Source organism: Homo sapiens, chromosome 17, assembly GCF_000001405.40.
Source record: "Homo sapiens chromosome 17, GRCh38.p14 Primary Assembly".
NCBI lineage: Eukaryota > Metazoa > Chordata > Mammalia > Primates > Hominidae > Homo > Homo sapiens.
Window position 1 is genome coordinate 80,503,923 of NC_000017.11, and position 16,587 is coordinate 80,520,509.

The 16,587-nt window shown below is 50.9% G+C and overlaps 1 annotated feature.

Annotated features, from left to right (window-relative positions):
* Nucleotides 15,247-15,541: a silencer, noted in NCBI's record as "tiled region #6979; K562 Repressive non-DNase unmatched - State 21:Repr". NCBI's record gives its function as "represses a minimal TATA promoter and a strong SV40 promoter by Sharpr-MPRA in K562 cells {active_cell/tissue: K562}" and the evidence as "EXISTENCE:reporter gene assay evidence [ECO:0000049][PMID:27701403]".

Sequence of the window (16,587 nt, forward strand, 5' to 3'; positions counted from 1 at the left end):
TGGATGAGTGGATGAATAGATGGGTGGATAAGGGGATGGGTGGATGGAGGGATGGGTGGATGGGTAGATGGAAGGATGGATGGAGGCATGGAGGTGTGGGTGGGTGGGTGGATGGGTGTGTGTATGGATAAGTGGATGGAGGGATGGGTGGATAGGTGGATGGAGGGATGAGTGGATGGGTGGATGTGTGGATGGAGGGATGGTGGATAGGTGGATAGAGGGAGGAGTGGATGGATGATGGAGAGAGGGATGAATGGATGGATGGATGAATGGATGAATATATGGGTGGATGAAGGGATGGGTGAATGGGTGGATGAATGGAGGGATGGGTGGATGGAGGGATGATGGATGGTAGGGGTAGATGGGTGGATGGAGGGATGGGTGAATGTATTGATGGTAGGGTGAATGAAGGGATGGGTGGATAGATGGCTGGGTGGAAGGATGGGTGGATTGGTGGATAGATAGGTGAATGGATTGAGGGATGGGCGGATGATGGATGGTGGATGGATGGGTGGGTAGGTGGATCCATGGATGGATGCACAGAGGGAAAAAGGCACATTGTATCAGACTCCAAAGGGAGAATTAATTGCAGCATAAAATGGGAGTCCAGGACCTCTCTTATTTCAGAGTTCATCGTGTAGATGGGAACAGTGTTTAACCCTTCCCTCTCCCACTGCCCTCTGTCAGCTGCTTCCCAGTTCCTAAATTATTGGCTCTGAAAGTGGGGGCTGGGGGAGTGGGGAAAAGAGTGGAGATGCTGAGACTTTCCCATGTGTCCAGCTTCCAGAGGCTTCCAGGACAGACTGTGGCACCATGGTTAGTAGCCAGGAGCAGGTTAGGGCATTATGGTACCTCCCCAAACAAAGCAGGGTGCTCCAGCTTCAGGCAGTCAGGACCCCATCTGCTCAGTGAGTGTCTGGTCAGCACCCACTCAGGCCAGGCTGTGTGGCAAATACAAAAGAAGTTAAAAAAAAATAAAGACATTCCATTATTTCAATAGAAAGAATTTTTTAAAAATGTGTCACTGGAGGTACACTTGCTTTACATTTTTTGCTTTGGAAGATGTAGGGAAAAAAGTCATGAAATGTTTTCATTTCTCTGTGATTGAGCAGACTCTTAAAATATTAAACTATTGCTTAATAATTGATTAAAACTAATCTCTGTGGGAGCCAACCACCCATTTGGTAGGATCTCTTTAAACTTTTAGGGGCTTTTAGCTCCCCCTGGCCGCCTAACCTTTCTCTTGTCTGATTCATTCTGGGCTCAGCAGACGTTTGGTCTCTTGTGGATTGATGATGTCAGGATGCTTCTGTCGGGCCGTGGGATGGCTGATGAGGCTGGATTCCGAACAAGGAACATCCTAGGGACACAGTGTCTGGAGAGGCAGTGAGGGAAGAGGAAAGAAATGTCTGTGAATAATTGTACTGCAGCTTCTAAAACTCGGGACGGGAGTCAGAGAAAACAGCCCTGTGGCCTTCAGAGCCGCTTAAGTTGTCTGTGACTTGAGTTTTTCCACACAATGACAATGGTGCCTGCCTCTCCATTTTCCCAGGAACGCTAAGCCATCGAGCAAAGTGGTTTAGAATGTGGGCGCAGGCATCCGAGTGTCTGGCTTCAAAACTTCCCCAGCAAGTTACCGAATGTGTAACCTTGGACGCGCTTTTTATTTTCTCTATACCTCAGCTCCTTATCAATAAAATGAGGATAGTAATATTAATAGAAACCCTCTTCTGTGCAGATGAGGTGAGGCAATGCATGTAAAGTTCTTAGCACTGGCCAGGGCTGGGCAAAGGCAGGGCTCACTATGCATTTAAGAGCTCAAAGCCCGGGTGAGCTGGCTCACGCCTGTAATCCCAGCACTTTGGGAGGCCGAGGCGGGCGGATCACCTGAGGTCGGGAGTTCAAGACCAGCCTGGCCAACATGCAGAAGCCCTGTCTCTACTAAAAATACAAAAAAATTAGCCGGGTGGGGTGGCACACGCCTGAAATCCCAGCTACTCCGGAGGCTGAGGCAGGAGAATCGCTTGAACCCGGGAAGCAGAGGTTGCGGTGAGCCCAGATCACGCCATTGCACTCCAGCCTGGGCAACAAGAGTGAAACTCTGTCTCAAAAAAAGAAAGAAAGAAAAAAGCCCAAAGGAGACTCTGAATTTTAAAACAACTACTTTGAGGCCAGTCACGGTGGTTCACGCCTGTAATCCCAGCACTTCGGGAGGCCAAGGCAGGAGGATCACTTGGGCCCCAGGGTTCGAGACCAGCCTAGACAACATGGTGAGACCCCACCTCTACAAAAAATGTAGAAATTAACTGGGTGTGGTGGAACATGCCTGTAGCCCCAGCTACTCAGGAGGCTGAGGTGGGAGGATTGCTTGAGCCAGGGAGTTCGAAGCTGCAATGAGCGATGATCATATCACTGCACTCCAGCCTGGTGACAGAGGGAGACCCTGTCTTGAAAAAATAAATAAAACAAAAACAACTACTTTGAAAAAGGGATCATTAGGTGAACAACTGAAGCCTCTGAAACTAAACAGTCTCAGCCAGGTGCGGTGGCTCACACCTGTAATCCCAGCACTTTGGGAGTCCGAGGCGGGTGGATCACCTGAGGTCAGGAGTTTGAGACTAGCCTGGCCAACATGGTGAAACCCCGTCTCTACTAAAAATATAAAAAATTGGCCGGGTGTGGTAGCTCACGCCTGTAATCCCACCACTTCGGGTGGATCACCTGAAGTCAGGAGTTTGAGACCAGCCTGGCCAACATGGCAAAACCCTATCTCTACTAAAAATACAAAAATTAGCCAGGTGTGGTTGTGCATCCCTGTAATCCCAGCTACTTGAGAGGCTGAGGAAGGAGAATCGCTTGAACCTGGGAGGCAGAGGTTACAGTGAGCCAAGATGGCACCACTGTACTCCAGCCTGGGCGACAGGAGCAAAACTCCATCTCAAAAAAGAAAAGAAAAGAAACGAAGCAGTCTCAAAGAAATGTTTGTACACTTGTGTTTATAGCAGCACTATTCACAACAGCCAAAATGTGGAAACAACCCAGATGTCCATGGGCGCATGAATGGGTAAAGCAATGTGGTATGTACGTACAACGGGGTATTATTTAGCCCTGAAAAAGGAAGAAAATTCAGAGGTCGGGTGCAGTGGCTCACAACTGTACCTATAACCCCAGAACTTTGGGAGGCCGAGGCAGGAGGATTGCTTGAGCCCAGGAGTTCAAGACCAGCCTGGGCAACATGGTGAGATCCTGTCTCTATACAAAAAAACAAAAAAAATCAGCCAGATGTGGTGGCACATGCCAGTGGTTCCAGCTACTTGAGAGGCTGAGGTGGGAGGATTGGTTGAGCCCAGGAGTTGAGGCTGCAGTGAGCTGTGATCATACCACTGCACTCCAGCCTGGGCAAGAGAGCAGGAAAACGCCTCCCCCAGCATACACAAAGGAAGGAAATTCTGACTCGTGCTACAACATGGATGAATCTCAAGACATGCTAAGTGAAATAAGCCAGTCGCTGGCCGGGGGTGGTAGCTCATACCTGTAATTCCAACACTCTGGGAGGCTGAGGCAGGCAGATCACTTGAGGTCAGGATTTCAAGACCAGCCTGGGCAACATGGTGAAACCCTGTCTCCACCAAAAAATACAAAAACAAACAAAACAAACAAAACAATTAGCCAGATTTGGTAGCACATGCCTGTAGTCCCAGCTACTCAGGAGGCTGATGCATGAGAATCACTTGAACCCTGGAGGCGGAGGCAACAGTGAACCGAGATTGTGCCACTGCACTCCAGCCTGGGCAACACAGACCCCGTCTGAAATAAATAAATAAATAATAAGGCAGTCACAAAGGGGCAAATACTGTATAATTCCACGTCTATGAGGTATTTATTTTATTATTGTTATTATTTTTGAGATGGAGTCTCGCTCTGTTGCCCAGGCTAGAGTGCAGTGGTGCAATCTTGGCTGACTGCAACCTCTGCCTCCTGGGTTCAAGCGATTCTCCTGCCTCAGCCTCCTGAGTAGCTGGGATTACAGTAGCCTGCCACCACACCCAGCTAATTTTTGTATTTTTAGTAAAGACAGGGTTTCACCACATTGGCCAGGCTGGTCTTGAACTCTTGATCTCAGGTGAGCCACCCGCCTTGGCGTCCCAAAGTGCTGGGATTACAGGCATGAGCCACCATGCCTGGCCCTATGATGTATTTAGAGCAGCCAGAAAAATAGAGATAGAAAGTGGAATGGAGGTTGCCAGGGCTGGGGAGGGGAATGTGGAGTTGTCATTTAATGGGTGCAGAGTTTCAGTTTTGTAAGATGAAAAGAGTTCTGGAAATGAATGGTGGTGATGGTTGCATAACAACGTAAATTAACTTAATGCCACTGAACTGTGCACTCAAAAATGGTAATGATGATAACTTTATGTGTAGCTTACCACAATTCAAAATAATAAAAGGATGGGTGAGGTAGCTCACGCCTGTGATCCCAGCACTTTGGGAGGCCAAGGTGGGTGGATCACTTGAGGTCAGGAGTTTGAGACCAGCCTGGCCAACATGGTGAAACCCCGTCTCTACTAAAAATACAAAAATTAGCCAGGCGTGGTGGCGGGTGCCTGAAATCCCAGCTACTTGAGAGGCTGAGGCAGGAGACTCACTTGAACCTGAGAGGCAGAGATTGCAGTGAGCTGAGATCGTGCCACTGCATTCCAGCCTCGGCAACAGAGCGAGACTCCATCATCCTAGGCCTTGCACAGATGAGGTGGGGCCTTTGATTAAGAGCTCAGCGGGGACCACCATGCCCCCTCCCCACCTGCCCCGAGACATCCTCAGACCAGCCTCAAAGGCCCACAGCTGGATTGGCCAGCCTCAACTTTGCATGCTGTCGGTGGGCGTGGAAATGGATCCAGCCTCCTTGAAGGTGCCACTCAGGAGGATGTCCAGGAAATCTTAAACGTGAGTGAAGGCAAGAGCTCCTGAGTGGTGGGTTGGGATCTGAACACAGCCCCACCTGGTTCTAGCACAGCCCTGGTCCTCATTCTTCTTGGTCCAGCCAGGCACCGTGGGCTACATCATCCTAAGAAAGGGGAATAAAACCAGAGAGGGTAGAGTCAGGGCCTGGATCCACCCTGATTAATCTCCCATCCAGAGAATACGAAAGGCAATGCCAGGAAGATGTTCTAAGGTCAAATGAACCATCTATGAACTCACGCTTCCTTCTACAGAGCCTGTGGCTTACAAAGCACTTTGGCTGGGCGTATCTCTTCCATTTCCCTGGAGCTGCCCTGACCTGGGGAACACCAACCTCGTCTCCCTCTCTACAGACTTCTCCACTTAAAATGGCCAAGACAGGGGCTGCCTTTTCTGGGGGTTCTGGGGTATTCCTGGGGGAGATCAAGGCTGGGGGCAGGTTGATGGTGGAGGTGCAGGGTGCCCTGAACTGGGAGTCACACTGTAGGCTCCGCAGCAGCCGGAAGAGGGCTCAAAATACAATAAGGATAAATAAAACTCAGGCTTCCTTTCTCTCTCTGTCTCTTTTTTTGAGACGGGGTCTTGCTCTGTTGCCCAGGCTGGAGTGCAGTGGCACAATCTTGGCTTGCTGCGGCCTTGACCTCCCATTCTCAAGCGATCCTCTCACCCCAGCCTCCCGAGTAGCTGGAACCACAGCACATGCCACCACACCTTGCTAATTTTTTTCTATTTTTTGTAGAGATGGGGGTCTCACCATGTTGCCCAGGCTGGTCTTGAACTCCTGGCCTCAAGCTATCGTCCTGCCCTGGCATCCCAAAGTGCTGTGGCGTGAGCCACACTGCACTTGGCAGCCTTCGTTTTTTTCTTTCCTCTTTTTATCAGACCAATACAGGCAGGTGATTTTTTTAAAAGTCAGATTTTTAAAAAACCTGACAGTACAAAGAGGTTTATAAAGAAAAGGATTCCCTCCTGCTCCGCCTTTCTCATCCCCGGAGATAACCTCTTTTGACGGTTTCCGTTTTAAATCATGATGGTGGTCACCTCCTCAGGTCCAAATAATATGGCTACAGTGCTGTTGCTTGATTTATGGACCTTAGAAATGGCCCACCGATTTCCCGCTGCGATCGATGAGGACTCAGCTCGTCGGCACTGCCACTCCCAGCCCCAGTTCAGTTTCCGAGTCTACCTCTAGTTCGTCTGCTGCTTACTTGCTAACTTGGAATTCCATCTGAGACCCAGCCTGAGGCCGTCACCTGTGGGCAGCGTCTGCTCTCCTCCTTGGGGATGGAGGGTACCACCCTTCCTGGACCCTCCCATGGTTTCCTCAGCTCCTGTCTGCTTTTCTCTGCCAAAGTTGGAAGTTCTCTCATCCTGCTCTGCAGGGCAGCTGCCTCCATGCCTGGTGGGCAGAGCGGGTCTTTCACTCCACAGCGTGCGCTGAAGTGTTCGCAGCGGGTCCTGCACGGCCAGGCATGTCCTCCCCACGTTCCCAGCTGCGCACTGGACACACCCAAGTCACACTGGACCCTTCCTGATGCGCCACCGCCACGGAGGGTCCAAACCACTTCCGGCTTTAGATGGCTTTCTGCTTGGCCCACGCCTTCCTCATGCTCACCCCACTTTGTGGGGAGTAGCAGCTGTGGCCCTAATGTGCCCCGTGCCACCCTGACTTTAGGTCGTGGACTCTGTCCAGGCTTCTCCTCAAAGTTCACATCAGCATCTTCATATCTGGACCAAAACTTTCTGGCGCAGACTTTTGTTGTTTCTGGGTTTCTAATGGCCTTTTTTTTTTTTGGCGCTGCCTCGTTGGTTGTGCCCTGGAGTCCTGTCGCCTCGTGTACTTCAGCCTTCGGGTTGAGGCTGAGGTTCCTGTTGGACTGGGGGTGACTTTTGTCTGCCCACGTGGGTGGCAAGTGAGGAGCAGCATGGGGTTGGCTCTGGCCAGAGCCGAGATCTTCAGGGCAGTGGCCAAGCCCTGGGTGCAGGGGCCGCCCATGCCACCAACCTGACACCTCCACTTCCAGAAGGGGAAGCTGGTCCGAGTTTTATGGCCGTTGGCTGTCGAAACTGGACCCACAGAGCCAAGACCCTGTGCTGCGCCCGCTGCACCCTGAGCTGTCCAGAGGCCCAGCCCCTCCCTACACTGTGTCCTCCATGGCCCAGAAAGCACTTATGCACATGCTCACACAACACACACACCACACTCAATCCACACACATCACACACTACACTCAATCCATACACACCACACAGCACACACCAATCCACATACATACACCACGCTCAATCCACACACACTATACAGCACACGCCACACTCAACCACACCTCCCCCACACACACCACACACAACACTCATACCTCACATCACACAACACGCTCAATCCACACACCACACACACTCACACCATGCTCAATCCACACACGCCACACACAACACTCATACCACACATCACACACCACACTCAATCCACACACACCACACATCACACACTATACTCAATCCACACACACTACACAGTACACACCATGCTCAATCCACACACCATATGCACATCACACTCAATCCACCTTCAATCCACACACACCACATACCACACTCAAATCCACATACTTACACCACACTCAATCCACACACACCACACACACTCATACCACCCTCAGCCACACACACCACACTCAAATCCACACACATCAAACACATACACACAACACACACACAACACACAACATTCCTACCACACACCACACATACATACCACGCACACACACACTCACACCACCCTCAAGCCACACACACACCACACATCACACACACACTACACACAACACTCATGCCACACACATCATACACACCACTCAATTCACTCCCACACATTCACACACCACTTACACACACACCCCACACTCAATCCACACACACCACACACACTGACACACATACTACACACACAAACACACACACATACACGGCATGTGCCCCTCTCCCTGGGCTGGTGGGAGCGGAGGCCCCTCGAGAGGAAGGCAGGCCCTGTGCCCAGGAGCATCCCGTCTGCAGAAGGAGTCTGCCCTCCAGCGGGAGGAGTGAGGTACCGAAGCCAGGGCCCCGTGAGACCCCGGCAGGTGGGCGGTGAGCGAGTTCGCAGGTGAGGAGGGCGTGGGCACTGCAGGGCAGCGGGGACAGCCTGTGGAGCCGCCAGGAACCAAGGCAGCAGGCCTGGATGCCGGGTGCAGGGGCTTGGGCTTCATGGAGACCAAAAGGGCTCTCTGGAGGGTCTTGAGAAGGAAAGGGCTGAGGCCAGACTCCAGCCTTCTTAGAGCTCGTCCTGGCTCTGGGTGGAGAATGGGCCTGGCAGGTGAGGGAGCTGCCTAAAGGCAGTGTGCGCTGAGGCCGCTGGCCAGGGACCTGGACCACCTGCCATGGAACAGTGCGTACTGAGGCCGCTGGCCAGGGACCTGGACCACCCGCCGTGGACAGTTACACTGCTTCCCTCACCCATCCTCTGGTGACACATCCTCCGGTGACACATCCTCTGGCTGCTGTTAGAGATGGAATTTCACTCGGTCAGGCCTGGGGCAAACCACTCAGAGGACACAGGGGGCCAAGGGAGCCCAGGCAACTTCCTCGATTCGCACCTCTGTACGGGGGATCCAGGTCACTCTATTTTCTCACCATTTGAGGGGCCGGGTGCAGCCATGCCGCCGTTGCCCTGCATAGAGACAGGTGGCTGGGCTCAGTGGCTCACGCCTGTAATCCCAGCACTCTGGGAGGCTGAGGCAGGTGTATTGCCTGAGGTCAGGAGTTTGAGACCAGCCTGGCCAACATGGTGAAACCCTGTCTCTACTAAAAATACACAAATTAGCCGGGCATGGTGGTGGGTGCCTGTAATCCCAGGTGCTCAGGAGGCTGAGGCAGGAGAATTGCTTGAACCTGGGAGGCAGAGGTTGTAGTGAGCCGAGATCACACCACTGCACTCCAGCCTGGGCGACAGAGCGAGACTCTGTCTCAAAAAAAAAAATAGAGACAGGGTTTCACCACGTTGGCCAGACTGGTCTTGAGCTCAGGTGATTTGCCCACCTCAGCCTCCCAAAGTGCTGAGATTACAGGTGTGAGCCACCGCGCCTGGGCCCTTTCTAGTCTTCTTAAAATTCAGTTTTCTGTCAAGAGCAGCAACCCAACTGTAAATTACTGTGGTCAGGGACTAAGTCACCTTGGTGTCATCCTGGTGTCACCCTGATGTCACCCTCGTGCCCCAGCACCTAGCATGGCGCCAAATTGGTTTTTGCAGCAAGAATAAGTGAGTATGGCACTTACAATGGAAAAAAACCCAATAGACTTTATTTAATTAAAAACATTAACTTTCTCTGGCAGTCAAGGTTGGAGCCACCCGGGAGAGCCGGGCGTGGCAAACACACAGGCCCGTCTGGAAAGCTCTGCCAGCGGGGCTCCTGACCCAGGTCCAGCAAAAGCAGCTCAAGGTCAGCCTCAGGGCCTGACATCTCCCAGGAAGAATCCAAAACACCCCCGCTCCTCAGCAGCACTGTCCTCACTTGCACACCGTCCTCGCCTGCGCACCGTCCTCGCCTACGCACCGTCCTCGCCTGCGCACTGTCCTGCGCCCTCCCAACCTGCACTTAGCAAGGTCATGCCCTGAGGTTTCAGAACAAATCCAACTTTCAGGACAATTTGACTAGAAAATACAGGCCAAAAATCCACCCTGGGATCTTTGCTGCAGTATAGATTTTCTTGTTTTTGCCCTGAACGAGTCAGTTAACGATTCAGATTAACAAGAGATCTGAGCCTGGGAGTATCTGGGAGTCATAGAGAGAACAGCTACGGGCCAGGGCCATTAGCCAAGGGGCTGCTGATGCTGGGAGGCCTGGGGCAAGTGGACGGGCTCACAGGCCAGCTTTGAGGGGGATGGGGTGGATGACTCTGAGCCCAGACCAGACATCTCCCCACCTCAGGCGCTGTCTCACGTGCCGCCTTGTGGGGTTAACTTTGAATGTCAAAGCCCAGAATTTTCACTAGGGTCGCCTTCCATCCTGTCCCTTCATTTGAGAAGCGGAAAGCGAGGCACCTGTGTGGGACTGGCCCAGGCTGTGCAGTGGCTCCCCAGGTGTCCTGGTGGCACGTGGGGCAGGAAAGTCGCATCAGTCAGGGTTCCCAGAGAGGCCGAACCACCAGGATGTAACACACACAGGGATGGATTGTCAGGAATGGGTTCATGCACTTGTTGGGGCTGTAAACCCGGAGTCTGCAGGGCAGGCTGCAGCCTGGACACACCCGCGGGAGTTGATGTTGCTGTTCCTAGACTGGAGGCAGGTTCCCTCCTCTCCCAGGAACCGCAGTCTTTCCTCTTGAAGGCCTTTCTTGTTTTGTTTGGCTTTTTCACAGTGTTGGAATGTACATTTCCTTTTTTTCTTTCTTTCTTTTTTTTTTTTTTTTTTGAGACGGAGTCTCACTCTGTCACCAGGCTGGAGTGCAGTAGCATGATCTCGGCTCACCGCAACCTCTGCCTCCTGGGTTCAAGCGATTCTTCTGCCTCAGCCTCCCAAGTAGCTGGGACTACAGGTACAGGCCACCACACCCAGCTAATTTTTGTATTTTTAGTAGACATGGGGTTTCACTATGTTGGCCAGGATGGTCTCAATCTCTTGACCTCATGATCCGCCTGTCTCGGCCTCCCAAAGTGCTGGGATTACAGGTGTGAGCCACTATGCCCGGCCCTGGAACGTACATTTTCTTAGCAGAACTTATTAAGAACATAATTACAAAAGAATTTCAACAAGTCAATGATAGCATACAAAAGAAAGAAGGGAAAAAATATATATTTTATTGAGACAGAGTCTCTGTCACCTAGACAGGAGTGCAATGGCATGATCTTGGCCCACTGCAACCTCTACCTCCTGGGTTCAAGGGATTCTCCCACCTCAGCCTCCCGAGTAGCTGGGATTACAGGCACCCACCATCATGCCCGGCTACTTTTTGTGTTTTTGTAGAGACTGGATTTCACCATGTTGGCCAGGCCGGTCTTGAACTCCTGACCTCAGGTGATCCGCCCACCTCGGCCTCCCAAAGTGCTGGGATTACAGGTGTGAGCCACCACGCCCAGCCAAAAATATCTTTTAAAGTACTCATTATTTTCACTTTGTTGGGAAGGTAGGTATTTATATTTAATAGTTGAGGGAATATCGAATGTTTCTTTTTAATAGATGCTAAGCAGGATAGTTAGTAACCGACATGTTTAATATTCAAAGTTAAAATACTTGAGAACAAGTATTAGGTATATAGGAAAATGGAATGGAAGTTTCTCCACGTTTGTCTTTCCATAGCCAAAAGAGGCAGAAACTTTTCTTCTGAGTCTCTCAGAAGAAATTCCAAGAAGACTAGAAGCCGCTGGCATGAAGAGTAAACGTCTAACTATCAAAACCATGGCACGAAAGCCGGGGGCCCCTGTAGAAACTGCAAAATTTGGAGGCCGTGGAATTTGTGATAATATTGCCAGGTGAGCACATCTCAAAAATGATATTGGCAATTATATTTCAGTATAGGTTGTTATAACTAACAGAAATGAAGAAAACCCGCGAGCCGGGACCGCGGGGGAAGGTGTCCCCGGCGTTTGCCGCCTGCCGAGCGGTTCGGTTCTCGGCTCCCTGGCAGCCGGCCTTCAGGTCGGGCGTCTTCGTTGGTGACTTCTGCTTTGGCCCTCCCGGTGTGGCCGCTGGTTGGGCTGCACTGCTGTGACCCATCATCATCTCCTGAAGCTGCATCCTGTCCTGACTTGCCTCCACGCTTGCACACTGAGAAATGCAGCACGTTGATTCACTTGCTTAAGGAATGTCACACAAATCACAGCATTCTGAAATTTCTTGGTCATTGTAACCATCTTGATTGGGAGATGAGAAAATGCCTGAAGAAGGAGTACATAGAAAAGAGTTCTGGCCAGGCACGGCAGCTCACGCCTGTAATCCCAGCACTTTGGGAGGCCGAGGCAGGCAGATCACGAGGTCAGGAGTTCAAGACCAGTCTGGCCAAGATGGCAAAACCCCATCTCTACTAAAAATACAAAAAAATTAGCCAGGCATGGTGGCACACGCCTGTAATCCCAGCTACTCTGGAGGCTGAGGCAGAGAATTGCTTAAACCTGGAGGGGTGAAGGTTGCAGTGAGCTGAGATCATGCCACTGCACTCCAGCCTGGGTGACAGAGCAAGACTCCGTCTCAAAAAAAAAAAAAAAAAAAAAAAAGAGTTCAAGACCAGCCTGGCCAACATGGCGAAACCCTGTCTCTACTAAAAATTAGCTGGGCGTAGTGGTGCGCACCTGGAGTCATTCCCCAGAGCTGGAGGTGGGTCCTGAATCACCACAGGCCTCATGGATGTCCCGCTCTCCCCTGTGTCCTGAGTCTCTGACGGTCAGGCCCCAGCACCCAGCCAGGCCTCCTCTGAGGAATGGCCACAATGGCAGGTTTGGAAAGCGGCCCAGACATCACAGATTTCTGTAATAATTCGAGATCATTTGGGGTCCAGCTCCCAGGCACTGTCTCACTTCATTCCCGAAGTGTGAAACTGTGATATTAGGAATTTGAATACAGCCAGTCCCTCCTGACTGCTGGCGCCTGTCCTTTCAGGAGGGTGACGCAGGCCACTCCGCATCAGGGTGGATAACTCTGGGACCTGTTTTTTAACCCTTGATATTTACCGACTTTGGTCAGTTCACCAATCCCCAGTCTCAAATTTGCGAAAGTAAATGCTATGCCCTTTTCATAGAGCTGTCATCCATAAAAACTGCCACTGTGTTCCCTCACTCTGTCCCCCAATGAGCCCTGCAGCAGGTGGCCTGCTGCCACGCTGGGAGGTGCTCTGAGGACAAGCCCATGCGTGCTGGTGACAGCTGCAGCCCCTTCCCTCTGTGGTCCTGCCTGGCTGCTGGTCCAGAGCCCCTTCCCCAGCCCAGGATGGCTCTCCATCCCTTTGGGTGCCTGAGAGAGCAAACACCTGGTCTCATATCACCGGCAGTTGTGGACTGGCTGGACGGTGCTGAGAGCGGGAAGGAAAGAGGGGCAGAGGGCATCTGAGCCTGGATTCCTGCTCTTTCTGCCAGCTCTGACCTGGACCCACACCTCCTCCCAGCCCCCATCCAAAGCAGAGAGGAGGCACAATCAGAAAGGGAAAAGTAAAAGAGGAAAGAGGGGTGCAAGGACCAAAGAGGCACGCTTCAGGTACCACAAAGTGATGAGGCTGCACCCCAAACCCCATCACCATAATCATCTGCTATGGACTGAGCATGTTCATCTGTCCACCACTGCATCTGGCTCTCTGTATAAATTATCTCACATACAGAAGCAGGTCACAGCCCACCTTGTGCCTCCCCTCTCTTCTCTGCTGCCCCCTTGCAATCATGCAAACTCATCGTCCATCTTAAAAATACGGCTGGAATGGGGAGCATACCCCTTCAAATATCAGTCTCTTAATTGAAAGATGTGCAAAGACACAGTTCGTACTCAATGCTTCATTCTGTTAATTTCTGCATTGTTGTCTATTTGTAAAGTTCTGTGTTCATAACAAACTCTTTTTTAATGTTATGATTTGGTTTTTTGTTTGTTTGTTTTGTTTTGAGACAGAGTCTCGCTCGGTCACCCAGGCTGATGTGCCGTGGCACGATCTCGGCTCACTGCAATCTTTGCCTCCCAGGTTCAAGCCATTCTCCTGCCTCAGCCTCCCAGGTAGCCGAGATTACAGGTGCCTGCCACCACGCCTGGCTAATTTTTGTATTTGTAGTAGAGACGGGGTTTCACCATGTTATCCAGGCTGGTCTCGAACTCCTGACCTCAGGTGATGTATCTGCCTTGACCTCCCAAAGTGCTGGGATTATAGGCATGAGCCACTGCACCTGGACTTGTTTTACTGAAATCACTGCAGCAGGCTTTGAGTGCCTATTAGTGACTCACTTTCACTGAGCAAGAGGTAGATTTTAGGTCTGCAACACAGCACATGCCCTTGACAAGCTCACAAACTTGTAGGAGGGATAGGCCTAGACCTGTAGACCATGTGTAGGAGGGACCAGGCATAGCTCCCAGGGAGGGGGCTGCCCATAAGGTGGTCCTCTTGTCCAAAGTGAAATGGCTCATATGACGCAGCCTCCACTGTTCTGAATTCTGCCTCTAAAGAACCCAGAAAATGCTGTCCCGCAAGAGGATTCCTTAGGTAATGACTTGAGTCCATGAGTTCTCCTAGAAGCATTTCTCAAGTTAGACTGAAGAAAACATTTTCTTTTGAGCCAAACTTCCTTTCATTGGTATAATCCTATATAGGTAGCCAAAGCCCTTTTACTTGTATCATCTACTTTTATTCTTACAACAACCTTAGGGAGTGGGTAGGAAAAAAACCTACTCTCACCCCATCTCACAAATAAGGGAAATTACAAGGGTATTGAGTGGTGAATTTTGGGAAAGAAAATCTGTTCCTTGTCCAGAAATTCATTTATTCATTTATCTTTGCATCCATCCATGCATCCATCCATCTACCCACCCACCCATCCACCCATCCATCCACCCATCCACCCTTCCACACGTTCACCCATCCATCCATCCATCCACCCATACATCCATCTACCCACCCATTCATCCATTCAACCATTCATCTATCCACCCATCCACCCACCCATCCATCCACTCATCTATCCATCCATCCATCCATCCATCCATCCATCCATCCATCCATCCATCCACCTACCCACCCATCCATCCACCCACCCATTCAACCATTTATCCACCCATTAAACCATCCATCTACTCATCCATCCATCCACCCATCCATCTATCCATTCACCCACTCATCCACCATCCACATTCATCCAACCATCCATCCTCCATATATGTGTTGGGTGGGTCCCTATTAACCAGTCCCAGGGCTATATGCTGGAGGACGAAGGAGGCCCTAGCTTTCAGATAACTCCCAGTCTGGAATGTTTGGATCCTGGAGATTATGGCAGTGGCTCATTTTCTCCTTAACAACTCAATATTATTACCTTACCCAAATACAGTCTGAGGACAGGCAAAGCAGGAAGCAGATTCCTTTCGTTGGATTTGGGGTGTGGGTGCAGCTGCAAGCAGTAAGGCACAGAGAAGAATACTGGTGTCCCATAAGCCCCTGAGGGTCACCACACTAAGTGCTGGGTCGTAAGTTGTATCAAATGTACTGCCTGAGCCTTTAGTCAATCCTGTGAGAGGATTTCTGGTCTCTCCCTCAACACTAAGAGGTAGCAAATCTTCTCTTGATGGATTAATGGATCTAAGAGTCACGAGGGCTCCTGATTTATAGCCTGCATTCACGTCTGCCCTCTGCATAGCCTGGCAGAATCTTAGAGGAAAGTTCTTGGGCAGCAGGGTCAAGTAAAGGTTGTTATTTTAAAGAGAGGGGAGAACATTGTGTCAACACAGGAAGGATGTCATGAAGAATGGGACTTGGCAGTTCCCTGCGGCTGGGAGGAGGGTCCACATAGTACGACAGCTCTCTGCCTTCCCAATCCAGTCACTCATCCCTTTTAGAGCTCAGACTCTGGCAAACAGACTCATAATAACCCAACTCACAAGAGACTGAATGATGGCAATGTGCTTCTTCCTAGTAGGAGGTAGGTTCCCAGATCTGCAGCCAGGGCCTCTGGCCTGCAGTAGGTCATCCCCACTGGAGCCGAGCCAGGAAAGAAGAGCCTTTCATGTATGTTACCACATGTAAGCCTCTTACAGCCAACTCCTTAAGGAGCTATGACTGAGGTTCACTGAAGGGGCAGGAAGTATCCCAACGTGGCCCAGCTTGCCAGAGAAGAGCTGGACTTTAACTCAGGCCCAGGGCTATTTCCCGGCCTGCCTTCCTTCTTCTCTACCTGGCCCAGTGGCCCACCATAGCCTAGTTGTTAGACCCTAGAGGTCAATAAACCTAGTCTCTTCCCTGGAGACTGAACTGTAGTCCAGAATTGAGATTGTGCGTATGTGACATGTGATTCCTGGATACATAAGACAACACACAGAGCAGAGGGATTGATCCTTACATTTTCGCAGTCAGGGAGATGCTGAGCTGTGTCTCTGACGGTGAATATAGAATTGTAACCAAGGGAGCTGATGTTCTCAGGAGATGTTTGCAGCCGGGTGGAGAAGCTCAGTGCATGCTTTTGGGGCTACTTCTGGTTAAATAATAGAGAATAAGTGAGCCCACAATGTAGAGATAATGTGAGCGAGTGTTTTGTTGCGTAAGGATGTGAGAGTCTGAGGGTGTGTGGCGTGGATGCAGAATGTGAGATTATTGCAGAGAGTGAGGCTGAGGAGGCTGCAGCGCAGGCTTGGGGGATAATTGGAGGATGCAGTTCCCAGGGAGAGAAAGAAGGAGTCCAGTCATGGTTAGAAACACCAAATGATTGTACTCATTATTTCTGGCTCAGTAGCAAATTACTCCCAAACTTAGTGACTTGAAACAACTTTGGTTATTATGGCACAGATTTGGCAGGTCAGGAATCTGGCTGGGAGAGCTGGTCCCTCTGCTCCGTGTCCCCCCAAGGCCGTGGTCATCTCAAGGCCCCTCTGGGAAGGACCCTCTTTCAAGCTCATTCACACGGCTGCTGGTGGGTTTCAGTTC